We start from the raw sequence: 19,566 nt of genomic DNA, 5'->3' as shown, positions 1-19,566 counted from the left end.
TTTAAGGTGAACTGCCAGTGTGTGACCACCTAGTGGGGGTAGAGCTGATGATTGCCTCACACCGGAGGCTCCTTCCTGTGCCGCGTTCTGTCCAGAAGACACAGCCATGGATGTCCATTTTAGGATCAGCCAAGCCCCGTGGGGCTTTCCTTCATTTTTATTTTATGTTTTTTTAGAAATGGGGTCTTGCTCTGTCACCCAGGCTGGGGTGCAGTGGTGTGATCATAGCTCACCGCAGCTTTGAGCCGTCTTCCCACTCAGTCTACTAAGCTTGGACTATAGGCCAAGACTATAGAGTGGTCCTTCTTTCCATTCTTTTGGGACCATGAGAGGCCACCCATGTTTCCTGCCCCTGCTGGGCCCCCTGCTGCTCAGAAGGCATGGTCTGAGGCTTCCACCTTGGGTCGTGAGCCTGGCGTGGTGGTTTCTGGCCAGCATGGGGGTTGGGATGCTGTGGCTCAGGCCTTCTGCATGGTTTCCCACACTCTCTTCTCCTCCTCAGGACTGGATCATCGCGCCTGAAGGCTACGCCGCCTACTACTGTGAGGGGGAGTGTGCCTTCCCTCTGAACTCCTACATGAACGCCACCAACCACGCCATCGTGCAGACGCTGGTGGGTGTCACGCCATCTTGGGGTGTGGTCACCTGGGCCGGGCAGGCTGCGGGGCCACCAGATCCTGCTGCCTCCAAGCTGGGGCCTGAGTAGATGTCAGCCCATTGCCATGTCATGACTTTTGGGGGCCCCTTGCGCCGTTAAAAAAAAATCAAAAATTGTACTTTATGACTGGTTTGGTATAAAGAGGAGTATAATCTTCGACCCTGGAGTTCATTTATTTCTCCTAATTTTTAAAGTAACTAAAAGTTGTATGGGCTCCTTTGAGGATGCTTGTAGTATTGTGGGTGCTGGTTACGGTGCCTAAGAGCACTGGGCCCTGCTTCATTTTCCAGTAGAGGAAACAGGTAAACAGATGAGAAATTTCAGTGAGGGGCACAGTGATCAGAAGCTGGCCAGCAGGATAATGGGATGGAGAGATGAGTGGGGACCCATGGGGCCATTTCAAGTTAAATTTCAGTGGGGTCACCAGGAAGATTCCATGTGATAATGAGATTAACGTGCCCAGCACGTGGCGACACTCAGTAGGTGTTATTCCTGCTCTGCCAACAGCAACCATAGTGATAAGAGCTGTAGGGATTTTGTTCTTTTGCTTAGAATCCAAGGTTCAAGGACCTTGGTTATGTAGCTCCCTGTCATGAACATCATCTGAGCCTTTCCTGCCTACTGATCATCCACCCTGCCTTGAATGCTTCTAGTGACAGAGAGCTCACTACCAGGACTACTCCCTCCTTTCATTTAGTAATCTGCCTCCTTCTTTTCTTGTCCCTGTCCTGTGTGTTAAGTCCTGGAGAAAAATCTCATCTATCCCTTTCATTTGATTCTGCTCTTTGAGGGCAGGGGTTTTTGTTTCTTTGTTTGTTTTTTTAAGTGTTGGTTTTCCAAAGCCCTTGCTCCCCTCCTCAATTGTAAACTTCAAAGCCCTACTTGGGATTGAAGGTCCTTAGGCTGGAAACAGAAGAGTCCTCCCCAACCTGTTCCCTGGCCTGGATGTGCTGTGCTGTGCCAGTATCCCCTGGAAGGTGCCAGGCATGTCTCCCCGGCTGCCAGGGGACACATCTCTATCCTTCTCCAACCCCTGCCTTCATGGCCCATGGAACAGGAGTGCCATCGCCCTGTGTGCACCTACTTCCATCAGTATTTCACCAGAGATCTGCAGGATCAAAGTGAATTCTCCAGGGATTGTGAAATGATGCGATTGTGGTCATGTTTAAAAGGGGGCAACTGTCTTCTAGAGAGTCCTGATGAAATGCTTCCAGAGGAAATGAGCTGATGGCTGGAATTTGCTTTAAAATCATTCAAGGTGGAGCAGGTGGGGAAGGGTATGGATGTGTAAGAGTTTGAAATTGTCCATCATAAAATGTGTAAAAAGCATGCTGGCCTATGTCAGCAGTCACAGCCTGGAGGCTGTGAACAGAGTGCCAGTCACTGATGCTCTTGCCTGGCACCTACAGTTGCTGGAAACCCAGAAGTTTCACGTTGAAAACAACAGGACAGTGGAATCTCTGGCCTGTCTTGAACACGTGGCAGATCTGCTAACACTGATCTTGGTTGGCTGCCGTCAGCTTAGGTTGAGTGGCGGCCTCTTCCCTTAGTTTGCCTTAGTCCCCACTATTCCCTATTGTCTTACCTCGGTCTATTTTGCTTATCAGTGGCACTCACGTGGCACTCATAGGCATTTGAGTCTATGTGTCCCTGTCCCACATCCTCTGTAAGGTGCAGAGAAGTCCATGAGCAAGATGGAGCACTTCTAGTGGGTCCAAGTCAGGGACACTATTCAGCAATCTACAGTGCACAGGGCAGTTCCCCAACAGAGAATTACCTGGTCCTGAATGTCGGATCTGGCCCCTTCCTTCCCCACTGTATAATGTGAAAACCTCTATGCTTTGGTTCCCTTGTCTGCAAAACAGGGATAATCCCAGAACTGAGTTGTCCATGTAAAGTGCTTAGAACAGGGAGTGCTTGGCTTGGGGAGTGTCACCTGCAGTCATTCATTATGCCCAGACAGGATGTTTCTTTATAGAAACGTGGAGGCCAGTTAGAACGACTCACCGCTTCTCACCACTGCCCATGTTTTGGTGTGTGTTTCAGGTCCACTTCATCAACCCGGAAACGGTGCCCAAGCCCTGCTGTGCGCCCACGCAGCTCAATGCCATCTCCGTCCTCTACTTCGATGACAGCTCCAACGTCATCCTGAAGAAATACAGAAACATGGTGGTCCGGGCCTGTGGCTGCCACTAGCTCCTCCGAGAATTCAGACCCTTTGGGGCCAAGTTTTTCTGGATCCTCCATTGCTCGCCTTGGCCAGGAACCAGCAGACCAACTGCCTTTTGTGAGACCTTCCCCTCCCTATCCCCAACTTTAAAGGTGTGAGAGTATTAGGAAACATGAGCAGCATATGGCTTTTGATCAGTTTTTCAGTGGCAGCATCCAATGAACAAGATCCTACAAGCTGTGCAGGCAAAACCTAGCAGGAAAAAAAAACAACGCATAAAGAAAAATGGCCGGGCCAGGTCATTGGCTGGGAAGTCTCAGCCATGCACGGACTCGTTTCCAGAGGTAATTATGAGCGCCTACCAGCCAGGCCACCCAGCCGTGGGAGGAAGGGGGCGTGGCAAGGGGTGGGCACATTGGTGTCTGTGCGAAAGGAAAATTGACCCGGAAGTTCCTGTAATAAATGTCACAATAAAACGAATGAATGAAAATGGTTAGGACGTTACAGATATATTTTCCTAAACAATTTATCCCCATTTCTCGGTTTATCCTGATGCGTAAACAGAAGCTGTGTCAAGTGGAGGGCGGGGAGGTCCCTCTCCATTCCCTACAGTTTTCATCCTGAGGCTTGCAGAGGCCCAGTGTTTACCGAGGTTTGCCCAAATCCAAGATCTAGTGGGAGGGGAAAGAGCAAATGTCTGCTCCGAGGAGGGCGGTGTGTTGATCTTTGGAGGAAAAATATGTTCTGTTGTTCAGCTGGATTTGCCGTGGCAGAAATGAAACTAGGTGTGTGAAATACCCGCAGACATTTGGGATTGGCTTTTCACCTCGCCCCAGTGGTAGTAAATCCATGTGAAATTGCAGAGGGGACAAGGACAGCAAGTAGGATGGAACTTGCAACTCAACCCTGTTGTTAAGAAGCACCAATGGGCCGGGCACAGTAGCTCCCACCTGTAATCCCAGCACTTTGGGAGGCTGAGGTGGGCGGATCATTTGAGGTCAGGAGTTCGAGACCAGCCTGGCCAACATGGTGAAACCCCATCTCTACTAAAAATACAAAAATTAGCCGGGCATGGTGGCACGCACCTGTAATCCCAGCTACTCTGGAGGCTGAGGCAGGAGAATTGCTTGAACCCCAGAGGTGGAGGTTGCAGTGAGCCAAGATCGTCCCACTGCACTCCAGCTTGGGTGACAAAACAAGACTCCATCTCAAAAGAAAAAAAAAACAGCACCAATGAAGCCTAGTTCTCCACGGGAGTGGGGTGAGCAGGAGCACTGCACATCGCCCCAGTGGACCCTCTGGTCTTTGTCTGCAGTGGCATTCCAAGGCTGGGCCCTGGCAAGGGCACCCGTGGCTGTCTCTTCATTTGCAGACCCTGATCAGAAGTCTCTGCAAACAAATTTGCTCCTTGAATTAAGGGGGAGATGGCATAATAGGAGGTCTGATGGGTGCAGGATGTGCTGGACTTACATTGCAAATAGAAGCCTTGTTGAGGGTGACATCCTAACCAAGTGTCCCGATTTGGAGGTGGCATTTCTGACGTGGCTCTTGGTGTAAGCCTGCCTTGCCTTGGCTGGTGAGTCCCATAAATAGTATGCACTCAGCCTCCGGCCACAAACACAAGGCCTAGGGGAGGGCTAGACTGTCTGCAAACGTTTTCTGCATCTGTAAAGAAAACAAGGTGATCGAAAACTGTGGCCATGTGGAACCCGGTCTTGTGGGGGACTGTTTCTCCATCTTGACTCAGACAGTTCCTGGAAACACCGGGGCTCTGTTTTTATTTTCTTTGATGTTTTTCTTCTTTAGTAGCTTGGGCTGCAGCCTCCACTCTCTAGTCACTGGGGAGGAGTATTTTTTGTTATGTTTGGTTTCATTTGCTGGCAGAGCTGGGGCTTTTTGTGTGATCCCTCTTGGTGTGAGTTTTCTGACCCAACCAGCCTCTGGTTAGCATCATTTGTACATTTAAACCTGTAAATAGTTGTTACAAAGCAAAGAGATTATTTATTTCCATCCAAAGCTCTTTTGAACACCCCCCCCCCTTTAATCCCTCGTTCAGGACGATGAGCTTGCTTTCCTTCAACCTGTTTGTTTTCTTATTTAAGACTATTTATTAATGGTTGGACCAATGTACTCACAGCTGTTGCGTCGAGCAGTCCTTAGTGAAAATTCTGTATAAATAGACAAAATGAAAAGGGTTTGACCTTGCAATAAAAGGAGACGTTTGGTTCTGGCTCTTTGGCCTGTGTCTGTCTGTGTGTGTTGTGTTTTTCTCTCAGTTCTTGGACACTGAAGTTCTCTCACACTGCTAAGAGCTCCCTGCCTTCGTCTCCACCGTGAACGCTCTGTTTAGCATCCAGGCCTTGCGGGGAAGTGGCCGCTCGTCAATATTTGGTGCAGCTGTGTGGGGCTCCGGGCAGGAGAGATGGAACCAAGCAACACATGTGAATTTGGTAGGCTCGACTACAAAGGTCCTTGATTGAATTACAGTGCAGCTGTCAGCAGCTGTTTCAAAGAGGCAGGGGGTAAATTAGCTGTGTTTACTGCTAACATAGTTGAAAGATTTAGTCATCCCAATAAAATAGAGGCACCACAGAGAGAAAAAGGGCAGGAGGTGCACGCCCAAAACTTTAAAGCGGTGCCGGCCCCAGAGCTGACACTGTCCAGTGCAAATGATTGGGGCAGTTGCTGGAGCGCGACTGTGGACGTGGATGGCCCCCAGCAGGCCTGGCGAAGGCGGCCAGGGCCCAGTGTCTCGCCGAGCATGGAGCAGCACTTGGCTGCGTAGCGTGGAGCAGCAGTTTGGACGCCTTTCCTCTTTGAAGTGCACACTCAGGTCACCTGATGGCTGTTGTTGGAATCCCAGCCTGATACTTGGACAGGCCGCCCATTCTTCCCCTATTGCCTGGAATAAAGCGGCTGCTCCTAACAAGTCCCAGTCCTTGTGATTTCCAGACCCTCCCGCCATTGTCCGGACAAGCAGTTTAGCGTTTGTTCCATTTTCCAGGCTGAAGGCCAGAGCCACACACTGGAGGTCTAGATGTGGCCTGCACACGGGTCTTATTCCCCTGGCATGGTGGTGTTTATCCATGTCTTAAAATGTGGATTCGTTGCCAACATGTTTTTGAATATCAGAAGATGAGGGTGAAGAAAAACTCCCCAAATCTGGCTTCTCTTGAGAATCGGCAGGCCTGGCCACTCTGGGCCCCACACACACATGGCTGCTCTGGGTGGCTGCAGAGGGACAGCTGGTGCCCAGTCTCCACTGCTCCCTATTGCCTCTCTTACAAAAGGGTGAATGTCAGTTGCTGTTTTTAAAATTGTAGATGCGTATTTATGTGCATCCATGTCCCTAATGTCCCTATTAAGAGCAGGATAGTAGAGGCTAGCCTGGGAGAGCCGGGCACTTTGGAAAGGACAAACATTCTTTCGTTACCGCTGTCCCACTTTCCCTTTTGGCCCTCTGGGCAGGCCCTACAGGCACGTGCGTCTGTGGCTATAGCACCACAAATGGCCTCACCTTTCCTCTTCATCTTCCCCCCTCCTGGTTTACCACCTCTCTTGCTCATTTTCCCCCTGGAGCGTTTTCTCGTTGCCTCTCTTCTCAGTCCCGCTCACTGTCAGGCACAGAGAGGTGAAGGAATTTACTCAAAGTCCCCAGCTAATAGTTACTGGAACTGAAATTTAAACCTCAAAACCTGGGCTCAACCCCAGGCTTTCCTGAGCTGGAATCTCCCAGGGCTGCTGGAGAAACATGGGGATTCCTGGCCTGCAGCTCCGAGCCTGCCAGTGTCCGTCCGCCATCCTGTGTGTTGGGCCCTGACGACTGAGTTCCTGGACCATTGCTCAGGGCTCGGTCTCCCTCCTGCTTCCAGACTGCCTGAGGGCCTTCCTCTGTGCGCACCAACGCTGAGTGTTAGCTTCTCTGGTGGGTGGGGCCGATGGCCAGCCTGCTGTACCGTGGACGCTGCACACGGGTAGTCCTTTCCCTCTGTCTTCTCCTCCATCGCCTGGTGACAATAGTGTGTGGACCGTGCTGGGGGGCTGGGAGGGTTAGCAGTGGTCACCGGGGCCATCTACAGAGTGGATTCTCACAGGCATGTTTTGAGTCCTGCCCTCTGTTCAGATCTTTTGGAGACAGTGAGCATGTGAGTTTCCTGGGGCTGCCATAAGAAATCACTACAAACTGCTGGCTTAAAACAGCACAGATTCATTCCTGTGGCTCTGGAGGGCAGACGTCCAAAATCCAGGTGTCAGCAGGGCTGTGCTTCCTCTGGAGGCTCTCGGGGAGGACCCTTCCCAGCCTCTTCCAGCCTCTAGTGGCTCCAGGTGTTCCTGGGCCCGTGGCTGCATCATCCCAATCTCTGCCTCTGTCTACCCATGGCCTTCTCCATCGCTCCACTGTGTGCCTTTTTTTTTTTGAGACGGAGTCTCGCTCTGTTGCCCAGGCTGGAGTGCAGTGGTGCGATCTCGGCTCACTGCCAGCTCCGCCTCCTGGGTTCACGCCATTCTCCTGCCTCAGCCTCCCGAGTAGCTGGGGACTACAGGCTCCCGCCATGACGCCCGGCTAATTTTTTGTATTTTTAGTAGAAACGGGGTTTCACTGTGTTAGCCAGGATGGTCTCAATCTCCTGACCTTGTGACCCACTCGCCTCGGCCTCCCAAAGTGCTGGGATTACAGGCATGGGCCACCGCACCCGGCCCTCTGTGTGGCTTTGATAAGGACACCTGTCATTGGATTTAGGGTCCACCCAGATAACACAGGATGACCTCCTCCTCTAGATACTTCATAATATCTGTGAAGATCTAGATACTTAATATCTGTGAAGACCCTCTCTCCAAGTAAGGGCACATTCACAGGTTGCAGGGATTCAGATGTGGGCATATCTTTTTTGAGGCCACCATTCAATCCACCACAAGACCCTCTCCCTTTCCCACCACAGGGTTCTCAGGCCCCACAGAGCTTCTCCGTCCAGCCTCAGTTGGTCCTCACTGTTCCTGGTTGGTGCCACTGCTGCCGCCCATGCTGGGCAGAGTGAACTCTGGAGCTCCTACGGCTGGAACTCAACCTCAGCTTCCCACCAGCTCCAACCCTTCTCATGTGCACTGCTGGGGGCACTCTCTGCAAGGGGGCTGGCAGCTGGACGGGGGCTCCAGGCCAGAGTCCCCCATCCAGGAGCAGGTGGCCATAAATAAGGATGACCACGGTGGCTTGGGGCAGCCAAAGTGCGATGCGATGCCCTTTCTAGGAGCAGGGTGGGCTCTGGGGACAGCACGAGCTTCCTCTTTGGCCGGAAGTGTTCATTCTTCATCTGCTCACTCACTAATTCATCGTGTGTCCACCGTACACCAGGCACCATGGCGGGCAGTGGGTACAGGTAACAGAACAGAAGTCTGCGCTCACGGGAGTGGGTCCTGATCAGGGGATACAGCAAACAAACAGGACCCAGCCCCATGCCAGCATGGCTGTGGTCCCTCCTCCATCCAGAAATAAGACAAATTGTTGTTTTTGACTGTGTTGGCATCAAGGTGAATATCATCCAGGAATAGTTACATTCATTTGTTCTGACTTTGAAAGACATTAAAATATGTTTGTGGCCCCGAAAGTCCCATGGGCCTAGTCACTGTGCCTACCGTGTTTAGTGGAGAAGCCAGACCTGATCGAGCCATTTAATGCCAAGGAATGACGTGTGTCGGGAAGCCACAGCATGTAGGGGGACAGGGAGGACAGGGTGGTCAGGGACAGACCCTGAGGAAGGCCCTTTCAGCTGAGACCTGAATGCAGGCAACGTGGGCTGACAGGGATGGAGGTACTGCAGGGAAGAGGTCTTCCACCTGAGGGAGGAGTGTGTGCAAAGGCCCTGGGGTGGCAGGCGGGAGGAACAGCGAGAAGGCCACGTGGCTGCGGCACAGGGAGGCAGGCAGGACGTTAGCAGAGAAGGAGCAGGCTGGTTGTGCATGGCATTGAGGACCACAGAGGGACCCTGGGCTTCATCCAAAGTGCACTGGGGGCCATTGGAAATGCAGATACCAGGGGAAGCCACGGTGGGGAGGGTTAAGGGTACCTGGAGGAAGCAGGGTTCCAGTCCCACCTTGCACCAATCAAGCTGCTGCCCCTTCCTCCTCCTCGTCCTGGGAGGTTGCTCTGCAGAGACTGGCCGTGGGATGGGCGCACAAGCCCACTCTGTCTGGTGTTTAGAGCGGGAAGTGGCACCCAGTCAAGGTTGCATGTGGAGGTGGCTGAGAGGACAAACACTCACTTCCCCTGGGGAAGACATCTGCTGCCTTCTTATTTATCTGGGACAAAGGAGAATTCTCATGCCACCAGGCAAGAGGCAGCACGTGCTGGGCAGAGGGGCCGGGATTGGCTCCAGCTCAGAGCCCAACCCAGTTACTTAGTCAGCTGTGAGACCTCCATCTGGGCAACTTATCACCTTCTCTGTGCCTCAGTTCCTTCATCTGTGACATGGGTATGGTGCCTACCTATACTTAGGATACTTAAGAGCAGCTGCATATAACAGAAAAACCCCAAATAATAGTGGCTTAAAGAAGATAAAAGTTTTTCTCTCATCTGAAAGTCTGAAGGTCAGCCATCCAAAGACAGGGTGGTAGTTGTCTTACTCTGCCCCTAAGGATCTAGGCTTCTAATTTTCTGCTCTGCCATCTTAATTCATGGCTTCATCCTCACAACCTACCTCATGGTCCAAGATGGCTGCTGGAGCACCAGTCAGATCTGTTGTATTAGTCTGCTCTCATGCTGCTGATAAAGACATACCCGAGCCTGGGAAATTTACAAAAGAAAGAGATTTAAGGGACTTTCAGCTCCACATGGCTGGGAAGGCCTCAAAATCATGGCAGGAGGCAAGGAGGAGCAAGTCACATCTTACATGAATGGCAGCAGAGAGAGCTTGTGCAGGGAAACTCCCGTTTTTAAAACCATTGGATCTCATGAGACTCATTCACTATCACAAGAACAGTGCAGGAAAGACCCACTCCCGTAATTCAATCACCTCCCACCGAGTTCCTCCCACGACACGTGGGAATTGTGGGAGTTACAATTGAAGATGAGATTTGGGTGGGGACACAGCCAGACCATATCATCTGTGTTCTAGGTTCGTGTGCTTTCTTTAAGCAGCCAACCCAGAGATCAGACGCAAAAGGTCCACTTACCTCTCATTTAGCACAAATGCAGTCACACTTAGCTACAAGGGAGACTGGGAACTATAGGTTTTTATTCTGGGTGACACTAGGCACAGCCAAAAATCAGAAGTCCAAGTCCTATTACCAGCAGAATTTTAAAGACTCTGGTAATTGGCAATTACCTATCTGTATTAGTTTCCTATGATTGTAACAGTTATGATGGACTTAAGTGGTTTAAAACATCACCCATTTATTCTCAAAATTTCCATGGGTCAGGAGTGCAAGTATGGCCTCGCTGGGTTCTCTGCTTAGGATCCCACAAAAGCTAAATGCAAGATGTCAGCTCTGTGTTCTTATCTGCAGCTCAGGGTCTTTGTCCAAGCTCATTCAGGTTTTGGCCAAACTCAGTCTCTCGGAATTGTAGGACTGAGGCCCCCATCTTCATGCTGGCTGTCAGCCAAGTCACTTCCAGCTCCTGAGGCTTCTCTCAGTTCCTTTCCATGTGGCCCTCTTGCAACTTGGCAGCGAATCCTTCAAAGCCAGTGGGAGAATATCTCTTACTTCTTGCAAGGGCTCACCTGATGAGTCCTTCAAAAGCTAGTGGGACAATATCTCTTACTTCTTGTAAGGGCTCACCTGATGAGGTCAGACCCACCCAGGATCATCTCCTATTGCTTAACTCCAAGTCAATTGATTAGGGACCTTAATTACATGGGCAGAATCCCTTCATTTTGGGGAGCAATAGCCACCATATTCATTCAAGGGGTGGAGATTATATGGAGGGCAGAAATCTTTGAGGCCCTCTTAGAATTCTGCTTCCCACAGTACCTAAGCTACACCACACACGGCAGGTTGCGCTAAGAATAAAGTATCTGGTACAGAGGAGGTGCAAAATAAAACAACAGGGACTGCAGTGGAATCCAGGGGCCTCCCACTAAGAATCCCCCCACCCCATCCGATGATTTCAACAATTTGAGACCTGAGTTTTATGTGCTTGGCGTTATTATCTGTAGGCCCTCAATTCTTTATAGAGTCACTTGTCACCCCAGTTATCCTACATGTGCCTGGGAAGGAGGATGGGATGACTGGTCTGAATCTTTGCAAAAGACAGTAAAAGCTTCTGAGCCCTCCCTCTGAGCCAAGGACCCTTCTCAAGGCATAACAAGTGCTTCACACTTGATCTCACTCACTGAACGCTCACAAACCTGAGAGCTGCGCCACAGACTGCCTTTGCGCCCCTATAGACCAAATGGGACCTTTAAACGTTTGCTGGGCTGGGTCCTCACAACCCCAGGGGGAGTTGTTCACACAAGCGTCAGTGGAAACAACTCCTCCAGGGTGGGGCAGTGCAGAGGGGGCCCTGGCCAGCCCTAGTCTGGGGCATCTGATGGCAGGACCAACCCTCCCTCACAGGACCCAGCCCTTGTCAGGGCCCAGCCCACACTGGGGTTGGTGCCCGTCTATCCCTGACAAGGACACTCACAGTGACCTCCTTCGGACATGTTTTTCTTCTTGCCTGTGGATCAATTCCTCCTGGCTCAGACCCCTCCAGGACTCTGGCACTGATCTCTCTTGGTCTCGGATTTGAGGAAATAAAAATAGAAGAGGAAAAACACAGAACTCTCCAAAGCTTTGGAGTGGCTGCAGCCATCTGGATGGAGGCAGCATGCGCCTGGGCTGGAAGAGCCACGGTCCCTTGACTGAGTCTCGGTGCTTCTCCCCGTCCCTCTCAGACACGGTTCTCATGGTGGACGAGATGGGGCCGGATCTTAGGCCCGGGATTCTGCAGAATGCAAGGCTCAGAGCTTGCCTAGCTCTGAGTGGCTTGGAGACTGGTGTGAGGACTGAGGGTGTCCACAGATCACCAACCCACACCGGCAGCCTGAGTTGGAAGACAGGTACGAACTACTGGCCGGCCAAGAGTCCCTCAGGTTCTGTGCGCAGGAGGGCCTGGAGTTTGGTTTCATGCTTTTGTTCTTGCTGTCGTGAATTTATTCATACCTTTTGAACAAGGGCCCCGCATTTTCATTTTGCCCTGGGCCGCGCAGATTCTCTAGCTGGTCCTGTGCCCAAAGGACAGAGCAAGGACTCAGAGTCCAATTCGGCGTCTGCCACGTTCATCATTCAACAAGTCCGTCTTGAGCACCTGCGAGCTGCAGGCAGTGTTCTGGGCAGAGGGATATGCTGGGGTCAGGAGGGAGGGGTGCCCGGGCTCTGGAGTCAGTGGGGAGGAAGCCCAGGCTCTGGGGTCAGGAGGAAGGAGGCTCCGGGCTCTGGGGTGACATGTCCCCCTGCCTGGACAGGCTCCTGAGTGCATCATCAAGGAAACCCTCAGGCAATGGCAGGTGTCAGGTAGAAGATTAACAAAGTAGGCTGGGCAAGGTGGCTTACGCCAGTAATCCCAGCACTTTGGGAGGCTGAGGCGGGCAGATCACCTGAGGTCAGGAGTTTGAGACCAGCCTGGCCAACATGGTGAAACCCCGTCTCTGCTAAAAATATAAAAATTAGCTGGGTATTGTGGTGCATGCCTGTAATCCCAGCTACTCGGGAGGATGAGGCACGAGAATCTCTTGAATCCGGGAGGCGGAGGTTGCAATCAATGAGCCAAGATTGCGCCATTGCACTCCAGCCTGGACAACAAGAGCGAAACTCTCTCAAAAACCAAAACCAAAACCAAAACAAAAACAAAGTAGCCTGGGCAACATAGTGAAACCCCATTCTACAAAAAATACAAAGGTTAGCCGAGTGTGGTGGCATGTATCTGTAATCCCCTCCACTTGGGAGGCTGAGAGGTAAGGATCATTGGTCCTCAAGGCTGCAGTGAAATGTGATTATGCCACTGCACTCCAGCCTGGGCAACAAGGTAAGACCCTGTCTCAAAAAAACAAAAACAAAACAAAACAAAAGGATTAACAAAGAATCCCTGTAGGAAACAAAATTGGCTCAAATTAGGACCAACTGAAGGCGGAAGGTGGAAGGGAAGGGGCTGGGACGTGTACAAAGTTGTGTAAGGCGGAGTGCATGGAATCCATGTAAAATGCCCCCAAGCCTAAAGGGATGAGGGAGACACTGAGGCTAAGAGCCAGAGGAGACCCTTCCTGGGGAAAGGCAGTGAAGCTGGAGAGGAGAAGTCAGCCTTGCCACTAGTGACGTTAGGGTTTGGAGCACTGTTTGTGTGGGGCCATCCTGTGCATTGTAAAGTGTTCAGCAGCAGCCCTGGCTTCTACCTGCCAGATACCAGTAACATCCCCCAGACATTGCCACGTGTCCCCTGGGGGACACAGTTACCCGCAGTTGAGAACCACTGCATCAGAAAAGCTGGAGTCAGACAATGAGGCTGGAGCCTGAGGCCTGGGGCGAAGCCGGGGGTTTCGAGGGTTGGGGTCCACTTACTCAAGGATCTTCAGGTGGACAAGTGAAGGAGCTGGGGTTGAGCCCTGTCCTGCCTCCTGGAGACCCCAGTGACATCCAGCCTGCTGGGCTGGCCATCATGAGCCTATGGTCTGCCAGCGTCTGCCTCCTTATGAGAGCCGCAGGGACCTGCGGGAGGCTAGGAAGGGGCATGGAGAGCTGCGAATTTATTGAAGGGAAACTCCTGTAACAAATACGGCCACCGGACAAAGGACCTTGTGTGTCTTTTTAAAGGAACAATTTGGAGCTTTTCTGAGCTGCGTGACCACGGGCACATCACGTAGCTCCTTGAAGCCTTAGTTTCCTCTTCTGTAAAATGGGCACAGTCATGATAACCTTCTAGGTTGCTGGGGTCATTCATTAAGTTGATGTCAGCAGAGCATTTATCACAGAGCTGGCTTATTGAAGCTGCCATCGTGATCTGATGACATTTAGGGTCCTCTGCTTAAAGCCCTCCAAGGGCTCCCCCCTCACTCGGGTAAAATCACCAGAAAGGCCATGCAGGACACACCCCCGCTCCTGCTGGCATTAGGTCTGCCCCCTCCACCCCGGTCTTCATTTCCTATGACTGCTGTAATACATGACTGCAGACTTAGTGCCTTAGAATGACACATATTTATTCTTTTAAGGTCAGACGTCTCGGAAGAGCTGGCTTATTCGGGAAGCTCCGAGGAACCTTGCCTTGTCCAGCCTTTTGGGCACCCCCACTCTTTAGCTCACAGTCGCTCCCTCCATCTTCACAGCCAGCACTGAAGCATTCCCCACTCGCTCTCATTCAGACCTCTGCTCCCAACAGTCTTGTCATCTCTCTCTCTGACCGTCTCACGGAAACCCTGTGATGACATGGGGCTCACCCACATATTTCAGGATAGTCTGCTCATCTCAAGATCCTGAACTCCATCGCACCTGCAAAGTCTTTTGTGCAAGGTGTGATAGAATCAAAAATAAATATTTGGTCCTGCCACAGAGTTTCCAAAACCCTTGGAATCCCCTCAGCGGGCTGATGGGAGCATCGATTGTCATTCAGACCAATCCTCTCCTGACCATACCTGAGTTTATGCTAATTAGGTAACCCTTGAATGGCCAATGGAATCAACCCTCCAGAGCGAAACTCTGTCTCGAAAAAAAAAAAAAAGAAAGAAAGAAAGAAAAAAGAAATGCTGATTAGAGGGTTAGAACTTTCAGCCCCACCTCCTGACCCTGGGGAGGGGAGAGAGGCTGAAGGTTGATCTAATCACCAATGGCGAAAGATTTAATCAGTCATGCATACCCCTCCCTGAAAGAAGGGGTTCAGAGAGCTTCCAGGTTGGTGAATGCGGGTTGATTCTGGGACCAGGAATGCTGTTTCTGCAGACAGCTGCAGGGCTATTCCCTAGGCTTCTTGAGGTCTTTGTCCAAAGTCACCTTTCTCAGAGTCTTCTGACCCCTGTTGACCCCTGAGTCTCCTCCTGACCATCTCTTTTCCCCTGTCACTTGCTTTCTCTCCTTAATACTGATTGTCACCCAACGATGGAATGCCTTACAGAAGACTAGAGAGCAGCAACTTTGTCTATTTTGGTCACTGTGTGTCCCCAGTTCCCAGCACAGTGTTTGGCACACAGCAGAGCTTATTTGACATGTTTTGATGAATAAATGTCATTGTTGTTACCAACAGGCTGGAAATCAGGACACGTGGGCTCTGCCCCTCACAGTTGAGTGACCCTGGGGAGGGCCTTAACCCTGGTCTTCTGGGCCTCCCACTTTCAGGTCAAGGTTACAGTCGGGGGCCTGTGGGTGGGCTTCATCTGATTGGCCCCTTTGGTAGTGCTGGGCCGCATCTTCGGGTCATCAGTGAAAAGCGTTCTCAGGTGTGCCCAGGAGCACGTGCCCCCACAGAGCAGTGACCTTACCTGCTGACCCTCATCCCAAACCCTGTAGCTGTTTCCTCTGCTCTTTTTTTCGTTCTGGAAAAGGAAGTGGCTTTAGGAAGGACATTACGTGTGATGAATCTGACCTTGGATGCATGTTTGCTCAAACTCACATCATTGTTTAATGCCACAGGCAAGTCACTGAGTAACAGACTAAATAATTCCCAAGAAAAGTTTATATATGTGTGTGTGTGTGTGCGTGCATGTGTGTGTGTTGGCAGGGGGTATCTGTGGGGGCGAAGGTGGAGACTGATGGTGGGTGGTGACTTTGGCCACAATTTGCTCCAAGGTCCACATCCTTGTACTTGACCCTCGGTGGTGCATATCTAACACAATTAAATTATAGAAATGCTGGGCCAGGTGTGGTGGCTCATGCCTATAATCCCAGCACTTTGGGAGGCCGAGGTGGGCTGATCACCTGAGGTTGGGAGCTGGAGACCAGCCTGACCAACATGGAGAACCCCCATCTCTACTAAAACTACAAAATTAGCCGGGCATGGTGGCACATGCCTGTAATGCCAGCTACTCAGGAGGCAGGGGCAGCAGAATCACTTGAACCCGGGAGGCAGAAGGGTTGCGGTGAGCCAAGATTGCACCGTTGCACTCCAGCCTGGGCAACAAGAGCGAAACTCTGTCTCGAAAGAAAAAAAAAGAAAGAAAGAAAAAAGAAATGCTGAGTAAAAACGGTTTCGAATGCTAAAGCCAGCAGAGAAATTACATATTTGAGCTCTGACCCTTTGTAACAGAATCCAGATCTGTGGTATCTCTATTTTGGGAGGTTTTAGCATAAGCCATCTTACACATTCCCTCTCACCAAGAGTTAGGCAGCAATGTCTTTGTCCTTCCACCTTGCAAGGTCACTCTGACCTGTGGGTGGGTCACCCAGAGGTGCTGTGAGTGGGACAGAAATAGCTGCTCTGAGCAAATGCCTTTCCCAGCAGTCTCTGGGGAGGATGATACTCCAGCTTGGCAGAGCCCCTCCAGCCCTGCAAACAAGTGCTGGTCTCTGTTTGACCCTTATTTAGCGTGTCGATGAAGGAAGGAATGACAGATGACCCAGGCCCCAATCCTGGCCTGTCCTTTGAGTGGTCCCTAAAATAATACCATTAGTGGGGCCAGGCACAGCTTCTTATCTGTGGAGTGGGTGCACTGATAACACTGAGCAGGTCCTCACGGAAGCCCTGGGTGAGGAGGGGTAGCAGCTGCGGGCCTTGGACATGTTGCGAAGGTCTTCGCCTCCTGGCTGGCCTGCTGATGTTCCAAGGGGTATAAATAGTCCGACGGGCTCCACGTCTGATTGTGCAGGCATGGCGGCAGCGGCAGAGCCTGGCACACCTGGTATGTGACACCCAACCAAAGCCACGGTGCACAGGCACCTGCTGCTGCCTCTGCCGCCATGTCCTCAGCCAGAGTGGGCCCTGTGAACTCCTCCTCCCAGCCTTGCCCAGCCGTGACCTCCTTGTCCCTGCTTCAGGGACAGGGATATTGAAGGGTGCTCACCTTCAATATCGTGCCTTAAGCATTTCTGTGGCTGCCCACAGTTCATCATCAGAATGCTTCTTTTGTTCACATTTATTATTCTTGGTCCTAGATTTGGAAATAAAGAACGGCACACAGGAAAAGGTAAAAAAAAAAAAATTGTCCTTAAATCTGACCTTCTCCTTCCACTGGATATTAGCTATACTTATTTTTAGACTTTTTTTCTATCCATACTTACATTGTTTTGCTGTTGTTTTAATACAAAAGGGATTATACTCAATTTTTGTAGCCTTCTCTCTTCACTTACTGAATAACAAATGTCATCCTGGGCCCCAGACCCCCCTGCAGCCCCGTCTTTGATGGCTGCCTGGACCACCTGCAGGAGAAGCCCCTCAGAAGATGGGTCCCTGGAACCTTTGCGCAGGTTTGCTGAACCTCAGGAGTTCACTCAGCACATCGTTCGCTCTCAGCTGCCCCAGCAGGAGCTGCGCAGAACCGCCTTGGAGGCGTGCTCAGAGGACACTTCCTCACTTTTATAATGAATCGTGAGCACTCTCTCCTCGCTTTGGCCGGCAGAGCCTGCCTTTCTGGCCACGTGGACGTCTTCATGCAGGGTCCTGCTGGCCCCTTGACATCAACAGGCATGAAGCTGCAGCCATCCTCTCCCCTCCCCAAGTTTTGGGCACCACCATCTCCTAGTCTCTTGAGACTGGCCCCTGGCTTCTCCCGTTACCCCAGCCTCAGTCCCATCCAATCTGCTCCCCATTGAGAAGTCCAAGTGGACCCTCTTCTCCGGCCTCACTGCCCCCAGCCCACTCCTTGGGCTCCATCCCAGCCTCTTCCTTGGCGGTCCCCCAGCTACTCTCCAGTCCTACGTGCAGCTGCATCTTCCAGATCCACCTGGCACGGCATCTCCTTCTGCCTCAATGCCTGGGATTCAGGACCTTGATCACAGCTGGGTTTTGTATAGAAATAAATAAATAAAACTGAAAGAAAAAAACACGAAATGTTAATATTGTTTATATGAGGTTGGTGGGATTATCAGTGATGTTTATTTCCTTCTTTATGATTTTCTGTGGTTTTAAGACTCCAATGAGTACATATTTATAGAATCAGAAAAATACGTATACATGAAGTATAAATATGTAAAAAATATGTAAAAATTAAAAATATATTTTCAGCAGGAAGACACTTTGGTGGCCTCCTATTGCCTTCATGGTGGGTTCTCAAATGGCCCTGAGGCCCTGGGGCCTCTCACACCATGGTCTAGCCTCAACCACCCACCCCGCGGCCTCATCTCCCAGGCCTCTGAGGCTCCTGTCTGCTCAGGGCTTGCTTGGCCCCAGAACCTGACTTGGGTGTGTGCCTTTCCACGCCTCTGTTCTGTTGATCAATGTGTGACTAGCCCTTTCAACATCCACACTCACAAGGACTCACTTAGCTCCTTACTCTGTGCCAGGGACTGTTCTAGAAACGAGCATGCAGCAGGAAGCAAGACAGACAAGGCCCCACTCTCAGGGCTCACCGTCTGGGAGGTGAGACAGAGGAGACATCATCCGCCAACACAACCAAACAAGCCCAAGACAGCCCACCCCAAAGGAAGTACCGCTCAGGAGAAACAAGCCCTCGTGGATGTTTACAGAGGACTGGCGATTGCGACAATGCTTGGGGACAGTTTTCAGAGGTGGCTTCTCTGAGAAGGTGACATTTCAGCTGAGACCAGAGCAACAAGGGACGTCACCGTGAACCCAGTCCCCACAACCCCTGTTCACAGGGGAACCATGATCCTGTTTATGTGATTGTATTTTATTTTTAATTTTCTATTGAAATGTGATACCCATACAAAAGGGCACAACATTATAAGAATGAATACTCCCAAAGTGAGCCCTCCGCACCTGAGAGAGATGAGCAAACAGCATCGTGGTTCCCAGAGGTGCTCTTGTGCCCCTGATAGCTTTCGTCCCCTCCTCTGCAAGGGAAACCACTACTCTGAATTCTCACCCTGCAGATTGGTTTTGCCTGTTTTAGGAAGTTATGTTAACAAAATAACATAATATATGCTCTTGTGTGGCTGAAATTTTTCTCAGTGATGTGTTTGTGTGAGGTTTACCAATGCAGTTGTGTTTCCTGCAGTTCATTCATTTTCATTCCTGTATAATATTCCATGATGTGAATGGAGCAAATTGGTTTCTCCATTCTACTGTTGATGGGCATTTAGTAGTTTCTAGTTTCTTGCTAATGAGAAAATGCTACCACGAACATTCTTGAACATGTCTTTTGGTGAACTTATGTCTGTGATTCTGTTGGGTCTAATCCTAGAAATGGAATAGCATAGCTGGACCATAGGATATGTAAATGATCCACTTTAGTTGAATCTGCCCATTAACTGTTTTCCAAGGTGGCTGAACCTTTTACACCCTTACTAGCAGCATGTGGAAGACCCATTTGCTCAACATCCTTGCCACTGTGTGATACTGTCTTTTTCATTTTACATTTTCTGGTGAGCTATTTTATTGAATTTTGAATTTACTGATTTGAATTTGTTTGGGGGGCTTCACAATCACACATAAGTATATGAGGACACAGTCAACTTTAGAAACAGAAAAGGGGCAAGCTCTCTGCTAGTTGTTTGCTGCCGTGCATTGCAAACCTTCCATGAGCCAGGTGTGGCCTGAGCACTTCCATCCTTTATCACAGTCCAGCCTGCAAGGGAAGATGCTGTTATTGGCTCCAACTGACAGTGGGTGCTGAAACCCAGCCCAGCTCCACTCCCAAGGTGTGTGTGGGGTCACATTTACCCAGAA

The 19,566-nt window shown here is 50.8% G+C and overlaps 1 protein-coding gene and 1 long non-coding RNA gene across 2 annotated transcripts in view, besides 3 other annotated features; both read left to right on the top strand.

Moving 5' to 3' along the window:
• Positions 1–5,060, top strand: part of BMP7 (bone morphogenetic protein 7) — a 97,889-nt gene extending 92,829 nt beyond the window's left edge. Inside the window, exons 6-7 of the mRNA NM_001719.3 lie at positions 503–613; positions 2,705–5,060. Coding sequence (NP_001710.1) covers positions 503–613; positions 2,705–2,854 — 261 coding nt within the window. The 3' untranslated portion in view covers positions 2,855–5,060. The remainder of the gene's footprint in view (positions 1–502; positions 614–2,704) is intronic.
• Positions 509–1,010: an enhancer, noted in NCBI's record as "H3K4me1 hESC enhancer chr20:55747859-55748360 (GRCh37/hg19 assembly coordinates)". NCBI's record gives its function as "activates a minimal SCP1, AML or CMV promoter by ChIP-STARR-seq in naive H9 embryonic stem cells {active_cell/tissue: H9 hESC(naive)}" and the evidence as "EXISTENCE:reporter gene assay evidence [ECO:0000049][PMID:30033119]".
• LOC105372686 (uncharacterized) lies at positions 11,434–15,027 on the top strand. Its single transcript, XR_936906.4, has 2 exons — positions 11,434–11,863; positions 14,006–15,027. It is a non-coding gene; the product is annotated as an uncharacterized LOC105372686 (long non-coding RNA).
• Positions 12,001–12,501: an enhancer, noted in NCBI's record as "H3K4me1 hESC enhancer chr20:55736368-55736868 (GRCh37/hg19 assembly coordinates)". NCBI's record gives its function as "activates a minimal SCP1, AML or CMV promoter by ChIP-STARR-seq in primed H9 embryonic stem cells {active_cell/tissue: H9 hESC(primed)}" and the evidence as "EXISTENCE:reporter gene assay evidence [ECO:0000049][PMID:30033119]".
• Positions 14,380–18,786: an enhancer, noted in NCBI's record as "VISTA enhancer hs2565". NCBI's record gives its function as "enhancer in: heart[7/7]" and the evidence as "EXISTENCE:transgenic organism evidence [ECO:0001131][PMID:17130149]".

Source organism: Homo sapiens, chromosome 20, assembly GCF_000001405.40.
Source record: "Homo sapiens chromosome 20, GRCh38.p14 Primary Assembly".
Taxonomy (NCBI): Eukaryota; Metazoa; Chordata; class Mammalia; order Primates; family Hominidae; genus Homo; species Homo sapiens.
Note: the sequence above shows the minus strand (reverse complement) of the source record. Positions and strands in the feature narration are given on the sequence as shown.